This window comes from Homo sapiens, chromosome 5 (genome assembly GCF_000001405.40).
Source record: "Homo sapiens chromosome 5, GRCh38.p14 Primary Assembly".
In the NCBI taxonomy this organism is placed as follows: domain Eukaryota; kingdom Metazoa; phylum Chordata; class Mammalia; order Primates; family Hominidae; genus Homo; species Homo sapiens.
This window is the reverse complement of record NC_000005.10, coordinates 148,518,207-148,533,219: the sequence shown is the minus strand read 5'-3', so window position 1 is coordinate 148,533,219 and position 15,013 is coordinate 148,518,207. Positions and strand designations below refer to the sequence as shown.

The following is a 15,013-nucleotide window of genomic DNA, read 5'->3' as shown; positions in this document are numbered from 1 at the left end:
CTGGTTAAGGAAGAATGGGAGATACCCAATGGAAGGCTGGAGAACAAATTTTGCTGATTCATGTATTCCTGAGATGAGACAATTACTTTTCCTGTTAAACACTGTCTACCTAGCATATGAATCAACAACTCTTTCTCTTGACTTCGTTTTAATTCAGCTTCTTTAGAAAAGCACACAGCAATATTGATTACGATGGACGTTTTCCAGCTTAAAAATCTTTTGGTAACTCCTCCTAGCCTAACATTCAAAACCTCTAAGACAATGGTTCTCAAAGTGTGTTCTCCAATCCACTAGCAACAGCATCACCTGGGAACATATCAAAAATGCAAATTATTGGGCCTCACTCCAGACCTACCAGCAATCTGTGTTTCAACAAATCCTTTAAGTGATTCTGACAGATGATACAATTTGAGAACCACTGCTCTGAGACGTGCCCCAGTCAGCCTTTTTAGGCTTATTTTTGTCTACTTCCTTGTGAACACCCTACAATTTCATTAACTTTACTCTTATGTTTATAGGGCTATATAGATATAGGAATATACATTTATGGGTATGTATTTCATATATATAATTTCTCTCTTCAGGCCTTGGCCATGCTGTCTACAGCACCTAGATTACACTTTCTCCTCCACCATCCTGATCCAGTCTCTAACATTTGACTTAAAAAACCGCTATTGAAGAAAGCCTTTCCCCATCCCTCTGCTAGATATGCCTGTTCACATCTCCAAAACCTGGTAACATATTTTAATGGAATTTATTGTACTTGGTAGTGATTGAGAGTTTATTACATTTTAAAAATCCAGTTTGTCAGTATCCACAATATATCTGGCATTGTACTAGCCATCATGGACACAAAGCAGAACAAGGCAAACATTGCTGTCCTCATGGAACTTATACATCAGTTGGGGGACGGTTTTCCCACCTCTTGTCCTAGATCATTTTCTTTTTTAGGGGCACAGGTGTCCTGTGCTTCTGGGTATCCCCTAAGCTATATTAAGTTATGGTGAGCAAAGTGGAAGGCAATGCAGTGGTTTTTGGTCCATATAGGATGCACCAGAACATAGTGCTGTCCTTGTGGCACCCCACTCTTAAGAGATAACGACATGTTATAGCACATACAGAGGACAAGGAGCTCCACTCCTGCTATTGGTGAAAATCCTCTCATCTAAACCAGGGGTCCTCAATCTCAGCACTACTGACATAGACCAGTATTGTTATTGGGGCACTGTAGAACGTTGAGCAGCATTCCTGACCTCTACCCACTGGATGCCAGTAGCATTTCCTTCCCAATTGTGACAACAACAACAAAGTCTCCAGACATTGTCAAATGTCCCCTGGTGAGCAAAGTCACCCCTGGTTGAGAGCAACAGGGAATTTTTTACCTGCAGAAAATAAGACTTCAGAGGGATGTAAAAGCTCTCTTCAGATATCACTAGAACCACTATGCAGAAAAAGAATTAGATAGAAATTTAAATTAAGCCAGAGGGAAAAACTACAAGTTACCGAAAATTGATTTTTAGAGGAAACTTTCTTAACTTTAGGATGCCCTTAAGTTTAGAATGTACTGCAGTAGGACCTGGTGAATTCCAAATCCCTAGAAAAATTAAGTGGGTTTGGATACACACTTCATTTTAGAGGGGATGTATTAGCCCATTTTCACACTGCTGGTAAATACATACTGAAGACTTGGCAATTTGCAAAAGAAAGAGGTTTAATGGACTCACAATTCTACGTGACTAGGGAGGACTCACAATCATGGCAGAAGGGGAAAGGCACATCTCACATGGTGGCAGACAAGAGAAGAGAGCTTGTACAGGGAAACTCCCCTTTATAAAACCATCAGATCTTTTGAGACCCATTCACCATCATGAGAATAGCATGGGGAACACCCACCCCATGATTAAACCACCTCCAACCGGGTTTCTCCCACAACACATGGGAACTGTGGGAGCCGCAATACGAGGTTTGGGTGGGGACACAGCCAAACCATATCCTTCCACCTCTGGCTTCTCCCAAATCTCACGTCCTCACATTTTAAAACCAATAATACCTTCCCAACAGTCCCTCAAAAGTCTTAACTCCTTTTGGTATTAAATCAAAAGTCCACAGTCCAACATCTCATCTGAGACAAGGCAAGTCCCTTCTGCCTATGAGCCTGTAAAATCAAAAGCAAGTTAATTAGTTTCTAGATAAAATGAGGGTATAGGCATTGGGTAAATATGGCCATTCCAAATGGAAGAAATTGAGCAAAACAAAGGGGCTACAGGCCCCATGCAAGTCTGAAATACAGTGGGGCACTAAAATCTTAAAGCTCCAAAATGATCTCCTTTGAATCCATGTCTCACATCCAGGTCATGCTGGTGCAAGAGGTAGGTTCCCATGGTCTTGGGAAGCTCCACTGCTGTGGCTTTGCTAAGTACAGATTCCCTCCCATCTGCTTTCACAGGCTGGCATTGAGTGTCTGCAGCTTTTCAAGGTGCACAGTGCAAGCTGTTGGTGGATCTCTGGTTCTGGGGTCTGGGGATGCTGGCCCTCTTCTCGCAGCTCTACTAGTTGGTGCCCCAGTAGGGACTCTGCACAGGGGCTCCAACCCCACTTTTCCCATCTGCAGTGCTCTAGCAGAGGTTCTCCATGAGGGCCCTGCCTTTGCAGCAAACTTCTGCCTGGGCATCCAGGCATTTCCATACATCCTCTGTAATCTAGGTGGAGGTTCCCAAACCTTAATTCTTGACTTCTGTGTACTCGCAGGCTTAACACCACATGGAAGCACCCTCTGAAGCTATGGCCTGAGCTCTATGTTGGCTCCTTTCAGCCATGCCTGGAGTAGCTGGGACACACGGCACCAATTCCCTAGGATGCACATAGTACAGGGACCCTGGGTCTGGCTCACAAAACCATTTTTTCTCCTAGGCTTCCAGGCCTGTGATAGAAGGAGCTGCCACGTAGACCTCTAACATGGCCTGGAGACATTTTCTCCATTGTCTTGGGGATTAACATTCAGCTTCTTGTTACTTATGGAAGTTTCTGCAGCCAGCTTGAATTTCTCCTCAGAAAATGGGATTTTCTTTTCTATTTTATTGTCAGGCTGCAAATTTTCCAAACTTTTATGCTCTGCTTTCCTTATAAAACTAAATGCTTTTAACAGCACCAAAGTCACCTCTTGAATGCTTTGCTGCTTAACATTTCTTCCTGATGGTGGAAATTTCTTCCTGGTGGAAATTTCTTCCATCAGATACCCGAAATCATCTCTCTCCAGTTGAAAGTTCCACAAATCTCTAAGGCAGGGGTAAAATGCCACCAATCTCTTTGCTAAATCATAACAAGAGCCACCTTTGCTCCAGTTCCCAGCAAGTTTCTCATCTCTATCTGAGACCACCTCAGCCTGGATTTTACTGTGTATATCATTATCAGCATTTTGGCCAAAGCCATTCAACAAGTCTTAAGAAAGTTCCAAACTTTCTCACATCTTCCTGTCTTCTTCTGAGTCCTCCATACTATTCCAACCTCTGCCTGTTACTCAGTTCCAAAGTCACTTCCACATTTTCGGTTATCTTTTCATCAGCACCCCACTCCTGGTACCAATTTACTGTATTAGTCCATTTTCATGCTGCTGATAAAGACATACCCAAGACTGGGCAATTTACAAAAGAAAGAGATTCAATGGACTCACAGTTCAATGTGGATGGGGAAGCCTCACAATCATGGCAGAAGGCGAAAGCCATGTCTCACATGGCAGCAGACTAGAGAAGAGAGATTGTGCAGGGAAATTCCCCTTTATAAAACCATCAGATCTTGTGAGACCCAGTCACCATCATGAGAACAACATGGGAAAGACGCACTCCCGTGATTCAATCACCTCCCACTTGGTCCCTCCCACAACACACGGGAATTGTGGGAGCCACAATCCAAGATGAGATTTGGGTGGGTACACAGCCAAACCATATCAGAGGACTTGAGGATTTCATGATTCTTAGCATCCTTCAAGTTCTGAGATTCAGTATGTTCATGTTTTGATTGTTTCCAAAGTGGCTTTTCAATGGGAGAGGCAGCTGAGTGAAATGATAGGAGGTTTATGTCCTGGCTCTTGAGTGAGTCTGCCTGGGCTAGATGCCAGCTCAGTTCTTACCACCTGTGAGACTGGGCAAATTTCGAACACTCCTGTGCTTCCCTTTCCTCATCTGTGAAATGGATATATTTACAGTTCCTGTCTCAAAAGTGTTAGGTTGGTGCAAAATAATCGTGGTTTTTGCCATTATTCTTGATGGCAAAAACCACGATTATTTTGCACCAATCTAATAGTTGTGCGGATTAAATGAGATCAAATGAGCAGAGCCCTTGGTCAGTAAATAAATACTAGCTATTATTATCAAACCAGCCAGTGCATTTTGCCTTACCTCCCTCCAAAGAACTTGCAAATTTAATTAGCTAATTCTGTCTAGTGGTGGTGTTTATGTGTTGCAGGAATAGTTCATGATAGGTCAGTTTCCTTTTTGTTATTAACGGGGACATTATAATCCAAATATAGGAACTGAAAATCAACTGCAATATATAAAAGTCAAGTTATCAGATTTCTATCTAGTCTTATCTACAGACAAATATTAAAATTTTAAGGAAGCACCATCGGTTAACACTAGAACTCAATTTTTATTAATCCCTTTATTCAGTGATTTTTTTTTCACCTACTTAATTTGCATTCTTGAGTCCAGCCTTCAGAGGATGTTTACTTTTCTAGATTTTTTGCTCGAAAGCAAAGATCAGAAAGACATTGGAAGGATATGAGGTGACTTATTTAGGGCTGCTGCCTCAAAGGTGCCAGGTCTTGGTGTGAATCTTCAGCACATAAAGTTAAGTAGATGCTAGAATTCGAGCTCCAAATAAGAACCTTATGTTCTATACTCAATCCCACTCAAAAATCAAATTATGTTTACTGTAAGACAGAGGACCACATTGAAGAAGCTGCAGAGGTCAAAATGCAAGTAAAACATATACCTAGACATAATTCAGTATTTTTCTTATTCATATCCTTACCTGTCACTAACAATCTACCTAACCTAATTTAAATTTAAGTAAAATAAAATCCTTTTTCCCCCTTTACTTATTGATAATTTTAAAAAAGGAGATAAAGGATTCTTCCCACCCTTGCCTAACCACCCTAGATCCTGCAAGAGCAAATTTCTACATCTGTGTTTGGGCATGTTTGGATGTATTCCACCTTAGCACCCTTCGAGTTGGGCTTATTGCCCAAGCACTTTACTTCTGGCAAGCATTTTCCAGGGAACTGACTGTATATGTAAAATGTGTAAGGGGGCCAGGTGTGGTGGCTCATGTTTGTAATGACAGCACTTTGGGAGACTAAGGCGGGTGAATCACTTGAGGCCAGGAATTTGAGACAAGCCTAGCCAACATAGCGAAACCCTGTCCCTGCTAAAAATATAAAAATTAGCTGGGTGTGGTGGTGCACGCCTGTATTCCCAGCTACTCAGGAAGCTAGGCAGCTGAATCAATTGAGCCTGGGAGGCGGAGGTTGCAGTGAGCCAAGATCACATAAGCACCTCAGCCCGGGCAACAGAACAGGATTCTGTTTCAAATTAAAAAATGTGTAAGGGATTGGTAAAATGTGTACTACATTCACAGTATCCTCCTTTAAGTTGAATTTTAAAAGGAAACCTGTTACCACTATTTAATTCTATATAGCAGCAGCTCCTAGAAATCTAGGGTAAGGCAAATTAAAGCATAGAACATTTGGACAACAGAATGTAGGGCAATATTATTGTTCATGGGATGATCATTATGTCAAGGGAAACTGGCAATAGCCCTGGGCAAGCTAGATTTAGAAAGAAAGGCTTTCATAAAAATGTTATGAGCACCAATATAACCATACATTCTAAAGCCCTCTTGTAAATTCTATTATTTTCCCAACATAACCCTCTAAACATCCACATCCATTTATGGAAATCAAAGAATCTTCTCAGGTAAGACATCCTGCTTTCTGAAACGTACTTTTTGTCCTGCAAGATATTATTTATTTATGTAAAATATTTTAAATTTTATGGGTACATAATAGTTGTACATACTTATGGGGTACATGTGATATTTTGATACAAGCATACAATGTGTAGTGATCAAATCAGGGTAGTTGGGATATCCATCACCTCAAACATTTATCATTTCTTTGTGTTGAGAGCATTCCAAATCTATTATTCTAGCTATTTTGAAAGATACAATAAGTGATTGTTAACAAGTTACCCACTTGTGCTGCCCAAACACTAGATCTTATTCCCACTATCTAATTGTATTTTTGTATGCATTCGCTGACCCCTCTTCATACTCCCCCTACATACTACCCCTCCCAGCCTGTGGTAACCATCATTTTATGCTTTACCTCCATGAGATCAATTTTCTTAGCTCCCTCACATGAGGGACAACATGCAATATTTGTCCTTCTGTGCCTGGCTTATTCACTTAACATAATGTCCTCCAGTTCCATCCATGCTGCTGGAAATGACAGGATTTTATTTTTTTTATGATGGAATAATATCCCATCATGTATATATATACCACATTTTCTATACTCATTTATCCACTAATAAATGCTTAGGTAGGTTCCATACCTTGGTTGTGGTGAACAGTGTCCTATAGGATACTTAATTTGGCCTTGTGTTTTTGAACTTTTGGATTTTTGTGACGTTAGAGATCCAACCAAAATTTCTGAAATCTGCTCTTTACTTGGCAACATCTCGGCACCTCATTCTAAACCTCAAAAATTATATTGATTACACAACAAAGATAGGGCAGAATTCATTCTTCATTTATCCCTCTATTGCCTTTTTGGGATAATAGAAGAAAGGATGCCAAAACTTGAGCTATGATCTGAAAGTATATTGAATGAAACAAAAGATATTCTTACTTAAGTATACTATGAAAGATATATCTGGCATTCAAGCCAGTTTTACTGCTCTGTGTGAAGTGGTATACTTTTCTTGCAAGCAAGAGATTGTTATTAGCCAACTGTATTAGTTTGCTAAAGCTGTCATAACAGGTACCACACACTGGATGGCTTAGAACAATACACACTTGTTGTCTCACTGCTCTAAAGGCTAGAAGTCTGAAATAAAGGTATCAATAGGGCGATTATCCCTCTGGAACTTGTAGGGGAAGGATTCTTTCTTGCCTCTTCCTGGCTTCTGCTGGTTGCTGGCAACTTTAAGTGTTCCTTGGCTTATGGACGCATCACTCCAATCTTCCATCTTCTCATGGCCACCTTCGTACTGTGCATATCAGTTTCTGTGTCAAAATTTTTCTTTTCATAAAGACATCAGTCACATTGGATTCAGGATCACCCTGAAGACCTCATTTTAATTTGATTGCCTCTTTTAAAATCCTATGTCTAAATAAGGTCACATTCCAAGGTTACTGAGAGTTGGGAATTCAACATATCTTTTGGAAGAGGAAGGACACAATTCAACCCATGACACCAGCTTAAGCAAAAAGAGAATTTATTGGAAATATATGAGGTGGTTTATTTAAAGAGAGAGCTAAGGAGTGAGGACTTGATGGGTAAGAGCATGCTGCAAAAGATCCAAGGAGCAGGAATGAATCCCCAGCCCTACCAGGGGGCTGCTGCTGAGATAAAAAGCCCTCTGCTGACTTGCCCACCTTGCATCCCTCTGCAGGACATTGAGTCCTAGGAGAAAGTCTGATCGGGTCACCCCTAGGCTAGAAAAGTCAAAGCCCCATCATTTGTTTTCCCAACAGCACTATAGCAACAGCAAAGAGATAACTCCCGAAGGATTTGAAGTGCTATTAACAAGAGAAAGGAAGAAGGATGCTAAATGGAAAGAAACTTGCCCCCTAACAGGAAATCAAGAAGGAAACAAAATTTGAAAAAAAAAGAGTATATTTCATCCACTTCAAATTCATCATTAATTCTATGTTAATAATAAACCTCTGATGATTATGAATATCACCATTCAGAAAAATTTGCTACTCAGATATAATTTGTCTTTCTTGTAAGCCAACAGTGTGGAGGGAATCCAGCTAATCATGATTCTTTCAATGACTGAGTTATCTTTAGTTTGATTTTGCAGCCATGTCAGAATTATAATGGAGACAATGGTTTTTCGGAGCAAGACAGTCTCCCATTCTTTGATTTGTTGTTTCTTGCACTCTGGCCCAGATCAGGACACCCCACCAAGCTTGCCAGCTACAAGGAGCTTTTGGCACAATGTCGTCAGCTGCTCCTCAGTGCCTTGTAGGAAAGCGGGTATTTCTCCTCTCCCTGCTCCTGAGGCACCTGCTCCTCGTGCTCCAACACGGGGCTCTCCTCATTCCACCCTCTCTCTCAACCCATCCTACTACCACCTCTTCAAAGAATATAGCCATTGTTTTGTTAGTTAGGCTTTGAATTAAGAAAAGAAAAGAAGAGGTGGGAAAAATTAACAAAGTGAACTGCATAAAATGAGGGGTGTATGAGGGTGGTTCATCATTAAATGGTATAAAACCTTAAAGAATAGACAGCCTCCAGGCTCTTTTTGCATTTCTATTTTGTACTCTCCCAAAGAGAAATGAATGATAGATCTACTGTAGCATTCTGCCTGTTGTGAAATTCCATGCCATGCCTGGGCATGGAAGAGGTGATCTCCAAGGCCAGAGTAACATGCAGGAACGGTCTAGAAGTTAGAGGCCAGACTGTTGAATGGGCAGATTGTACCTCTTTCTGGAGGCAGGAAGAAAGTTAGTATCATAGGCAGAACATGGAATCAAAAGATAGTGAGCACTGTGTCCCATGAGAGAGGTCAGACTCTAATAAATGGAAGTGGGGTGGTCTCATCCAGTAGACAGGAAATGATGGAGCAGGAAATATTCAAAATTTTACATTCTTAGTATCCCAGAAACAGTTAAATGGTTTGTCCCAGAAGTGATGCATGTCAATTCTGTTCATGATTCATTGGTCAGGACTAGTCCCTTGGTCCTATCCAGCCGTAAGGATGCCAAGAAGTGTACGTGTTTGGAAGGAGGAAACTGAGTATCCTTAACAATAACTCACACTTAGTAATAACTCACACTTGTCAACATGCAAGCTCCAGGTTGTTCACCAACAGGCTCTGATTCAGGAGATCCTTGGGATCTGCATTTTAAAAAGGCTTCCTCAGGTGAGTTTGATTCAGCATGGCAGGGATGGGGGGATGGAGGGGAATCCTTGAACCACAATTCAAAAAAAAAAACACGGACTTAGAGCTCCACTTCCATGTAGGCAGGTGATCAAGGGTAAGGGGACAAATCTGAGACACAGTGGTTAGAGCCCAGATGTAGAGCTATGCCTGGGTCACCTCAAGTTGTAATCAAATAGATTACAGTTGCCTGGATACTGAGGCCCAGAGGGCTGGGCAGAGGCTCCTCAATGCACAGGCATCGGGATAGTGTTGGAACAGTGCCAGAAATAGAAAAGACCTTCTGGTGTGTGTGGAGCTCCTCCAGATATTGGGAGATGGAGAGGACTGTGGGGCCAACTGCAGGCAATGATTCTCAGATGTGATCCAAAGTATATATTAATATTTATATTAACAGAAACTCACAGGCCAGTATATCATGTTGTATTATATAATCACTTTTCCTTTCCTCTGTTCTTTTCTCTCTCTTCCTTCTTTTTCCCTTCCTCTGCCACTTGCTCTCCTCTTTTTACCCTGTATTCTTTCTTTTATTTCCTTATTTTTATTCTCTGCTTCCCCTCCGACTCTTCTCCTCAATGTTTGCTGTTCTCTATCCCTTGCTCCATCCCCTCTTCCTCCCCTTTTCTCTCTCATATATTCTCTTTTCTCTCCCTCCCATTCCTCCTTGCCCATGCCTATGCTCTGCCCTCTATTCTCTCTCCAGGTATTACGCCATCTGCTGCCAGCCTTTGGTCTATAGGAACAAGATGACCCCTCTGCGCATCGCATTAATGCTGGGAGGCTGCTGGGTCATCCCCACGTTTATTTCTTTTCTCCCTATAATGCAAGGCTGGAATAACATTGGCATAATTGATTTGGTGAGTATCCACACAGACCTCACTGGTTTACTGTCTGATCAACTTTGCATGGGGTTCCTAAATGAATAAATAATATTAGATTGAGTATTCTAAGAATCTGATAGTGGTCTGGGTGATAATTTTTTTTTTTAAAGCTAACACTTTTGAATGCTTACTGACAAAACTCCTCTCCTTAACCCAACTTTAGTTAGACTTTTCTGAATCCTTGTCCCATCTAGGTCTTGACTTTTGGACTTCTATGTCTGTTTTTGCATCACCCAATTTTAGCAAGAATCTTGCTAAGTTGGTATAGCCAGAATCCCCCACCCTTGATATTTGATTAGGTTCTTCACCCTCCACCATCTCCCAGGTGATGTATGATCACCTTGGCCTGTCTTCAGCAAGAGCCCTGCTAGGTTTGTTTAGCCAGAATCCTCTCTTACTCCTGATGTTTTCTATTGGTAATTTTCCATCCACTAACCCCCACTCACCATGCTGTTTGGCTATAAATTTCCACTTTCCCTTGTTGCATTTCAATCTCTCTCTTCTACTACAAAACCCCATCACAGTAGTCCCTATAACCTATGTTGATAGTCCTGAATAAAGTCTGCTTTACTGCTTTAACAAATGTCATGAATAATTTTTTTCTTTAACATGCCTGTATGCCAGAGAGTATGCTAAATACTTTATATATAATCTTGAAAACCTCATTATGGGGAAAGTATAGTTATTTCCCCCATTTCTCAGATGAGAAAACCCAGGCTCACAAGCTTATGTAGGTTAAGGTTAAGTAACATGCCCAATGTCACACAGCTTGTAGATAAGCGAACAAATATTCAAAGCTTAGACTTTGCTTAGACATGCCTGAGGCATGTCATTTGCCCCAAAAGGTCTTTATTCCATTTTATGTGGAGAGTCTATAAGGCTGATGTACTAGTCCATTTTTACACTGCTGATAAAGACAAACCCCAGATTGGGTAATTTATAAAGAAAAGGAGGCTTAATGGACTCACAGTTCCACATGCCTGGGGAGGCCTCACAATCATGGCAGGAGGCAAAAGGCACATCTTACGTGGCTGCAGGCAAGAGAGAATGGGAGCCAAGCGAAGGGGGTTTCCCCTTTATAAAACCATCAGATCTCATGAGACATATTCACTACCACGAGAAAAGTATGGGGGAAACCACCCCCATAATTCAGTTATCTCCCACCAGGTCCCTCCTATAACAAGTGAGAATTATGGGAGGAGCTACAGTTCAAGATGAGATTTGGGTGGGGACACAGCCAAACTGTATCAGCTGACATGGAGCTGAAGAAAATATGTCATGTGGGTAGAGGCTGCTGGGGAATGAAGACAGCTCCAGGCTAGAAGTTGAGAGAACTAAGCCCTGAGCCCAGCTCTGAACTGTCTCATTTCCTGAAGCACTGTGATGAGAAGATCCATTGGTTCTCAATGGAGAAGAAGGTCTACCAGGGATCTAGGAGGGCATGCAACATATGCCAGGCATTATTCCGATCCCTGTGTATTGGTTCTCCAGATAAACATAACTAATGGGTGTGTGTGTTTGTGTAGAGAGAGAGAAAGGGATACTGTAAGGAATTGGTTCATGTGATTATGGATGTTTACCAGTAACAAGATCTACAGTCAGCAAGCTAGACTCCCAGGAGAGCCAATAGTGTAGTTCCTGTCCAAATGCCGGCACACTAGAGCCCAGGAGAGTCAATGTTTTAGTTTGAGTCCAAAGGCAGGAAAAACTGATATCACAGCTTGAAGGCAGTAAGGCAGCATGAGTTCCCTCCTATTCAAGCCTTCAATGGATTGCATGAGGTTCACCTGCATTGGGAAAGGCAGTCTACTGATTCAAATGTTAATCTCATCCAAAAATTTCCTCGAAGACACACCCAGAATAATGCTTGACTAAATGTGTAGGTACCCCATGCCTGGTCAAGTTAACACATAAAATTAACCATCTCATTCTGTCTAGATACTAACCTTTAAGAGTCCTCCAGCTTTGACATACTAAACTTACAATGAAGATCAAAATCTATGATCTGGATTCTTTAGCAGGGATATATATTCCATAAGGAAGTTGTCAGGCACTTGCTGTAGAAGTGGTCCCCGGATACATCGAGATGTGGGAAGTGGAGTGGAGAGGAGAGATTAAGAGCAACAGGACCCTCAAGACAGGGAGCTGCCCTTTCCTCTTTTCACCGCATTCTTAGCCCTTAGTCCTGCCTTGTTCTTTTTCAAGGAAAGGAGTCTAAACCAAGGCCTGGGCCAGGATTTTCATGCGGTATGTCAGAACAAGTATTCCTTAGGATTCTGAAAGAAATGCCGGAGGCAGAAGAGTGAATTAGAAGTGTAACTGCATGGACATTTTTTGAATCCTATCCAATTTATTTTAAACTGTCAGTTTCACCATTCCTGGAGGAAATGAAATCCAAATTTTCAACCATTATTATTACTCCAAGAATAATAATGGCCAGTGAATGTTGAACACTTACTATGTATGTATGAAGCCCCCTGTTAATCATTATTCCTGGGAACCTCACTTAGGCTTCACAACAACATTATGAAGTAGATCCTATCATTATCCTCATTTTATAGATCAGCGAACAGAGGATCAGGGAGATTATTCACTAAAGTCATTGGTAGGAAGTAGTGGGGACTGTATCTGAGCCCGGGCTTTGGATTCCAGAGTCTGTGCTCTTAATTTATATGCTAAACTTATTCCCTAATGGAGAAGATCTTTGGAAGTGTATGCTTCTGTGCATTGGGAACTTCTGATGAGGGATCAGCACTTCTACCTCCTGAGTAGAATTTCTAAAGAAAACAACCCAGAAAGTTTTTGTTCACTTAGAATGAGCCAAAGGGATTGCCTATTTAATTTTAATCACGGTTTAAAATGGACCCTAATTCACCTAAATGGGAAATGGAGCATCTGTTTATTGTTAACATGGCTAATATTCATATCTGTCCACTCATTTGCACACTGAACCTGCCTAGAGAGAAGCTAGCACAATCCACATGGTCATGTTGTTGGCGGCAATTAAATTCTATAAAGTCATTGCAAACACTGAATTGGTAAATACTGAATCTTTGCTTCCAGGGAAAACACAGGATTAGGTTCCTGTGAGTCTCTGGTCACAACATTTTCATCAGCCAATCAATGCATAACCTTGTTTGATGTGTGTTTGTGCTTAAAAACACCTATTTAATTTATATGTTGACTCGTTAGCATTGCAGTCATGGACAAGACACTATAACTCATGCCTGAATGAAGCTTATCTAAAACATGTATTTTCTCTGTAAAGCACATCACAGCCTTCTTGCAATTACAAACACCAGACAGCACTTCAGCAGTACACTTAGGGTCCATTTTAAACCATGAAATCACCATCAAAAAGCACACAATGCAAAATATGTGCCGGCAAATAGCAAAAAGGACACTTGTTGAAGTGAAACAAGATGATAGAGCATTGCCTTGTTTGACTTCAGCTGGAAACACACCTATCAGGAAACAATGCTTCCACTGCTTTGTGCACATGCATGTCTACAAATGACCATAAAAACACTGTGAAAGCAACTCAAGTATTGATTTGGGGGATTTAGGAGGTTACAAATAAATTCTAATGAGTAGATTAACTCACAAATATGGAATCTATGCCTAATGATGACCAGCTATATACCCACACATATAAACCTACACATACATGCAAGTACAGATGCCCAAGGCAGAAACCTACTCCAGGGACTTTCTTCCTTTGCTCAATGGAATCAGCTGTGCTTTTAAAGCTAAGCTTGCTAGAAATGTCCTAATCCATCCCCAAATTTTACAAATTGGTAACCACACCAACCCAATGCAGGGTTGTTAACATAATGGGAAAGAAACCACCTAAAAATTCAAAGGGTTCACATAATAATTTTCTCATTTATGTTCCCAAACCTAGACCCTGCTTTCTCTTTCCATCATCACTACCATTTATTAAATATTTATAGACAATATACTAAATTCTTCACATGTTTCAATATCATCTAACCAACACAATATTACTATGTTTAATATTCATTTTATAAAGGGAATTATACGACTTCAAAGTCTAAGCTCGTAATGGCTGCACTATTTATTTATTTATTCATTCAAGAAATAATTGAATGCCCACTATGTTCCATAGGCAATTGAGAAATTAATGGTAAAAAAAATTTCAGTTCATATGGCATTTAAAATCTAGTGAGGAGAAAGTACGATATATTTCAGGTGTTACATTTTATTTAAAAAAACACACACAAAAACAAGTAAAAAGTGAGTGATTTACACATGACATTCACCTTCCTTAATAAAATATTGCTGGAGCAGAGTCCTGCAGGAAGAGGAAAAGTAAGTCATGTAAGCACTAAGAAAAAAAGTGTTTTGGAACAAAATTGCAATAATCATAAAGGCCCTGGAGTGGGAGCATGCTTGGGTAGTTCAAGGAATGGCCTAGAAGATTACAGACAGCAGTGAGCAAGGAGGAAATTGGTAAGAAAAGTAGAGGTCAGAGAGGTAGCCTGGAGTCAGACTGTGGCTACTCAGAGTGATAGAAGAAGCTTTTGAGGGTTTGGGTGAGAGGAATGACATTATTTGCCCTATGTTTTAAAAGAATCATTCTGGCTACTCTATAGAGAATGACTGTGGAATGGCAGAAAATAGTGAAAACTTTTGGGAAGGAATTACAATTATCCTGGCAAGTGATGATGCTAACGCTAACTTGGACTAGGATGATAGCAATTTGAGGTGGTGAGAAATTGTCAGATTTTACATATTCTTTTGCTCTATAATTAATTATTTATCGAGCCCCAACCATATTTGAGAATCTAATTCAGGCGCTTAGGGTACATTATTGAACAGTATAGACAATGACCCACATCCTTGTAAAGTTTATATTCTAACAAAGAGAGGCAGACAATAAGTGATGAGATGAAAATAAGTAGAGGAGATTAAAAATAAGCAGATATCTAGGATGTTAGG

General features: G+C 40.7%; 1 protein-coding gene and 1 long non-coding RNA gene across 8 annotated transcripts in view; one reads left to right on the top strand and one right to left on the bottom strand.

The window, feature by feature from the left end:
* HTR4 (5-hydroxytryptamine receptor 4) overlaps positions 1-15,013 on the top strand; it is a 203,496-nt gene that overhangs the window by 121,308 nt on the left and 67,175 nt on the right. For all 7 annotated transcript variants that reach the window (NR_104445.2, NM_001040169.2, NM_199453.3 and 4 more), the window contains one exon: positions 9,874-10,027. Coding sequence is in view for 6 of the 7 variants with exons in the window: in NM_001040169.2 (NP_001035259.1) it covers positions 9,874-10,027 (154 nt within the window). In the remaining variant the exon portion in view is untranslated. The remainder of the gene's footprint in view (positions 1-9,873; positions 10,028-15,013) is intronic.
* Positions 1-15,013, bottom strand: part of LOC107986462 (uncharacterized) — a 107,158-nt gene that overhangs the window by 26,768 nt on the left and 65,377 nt on the right. The window lies entirely within an intron of this gene.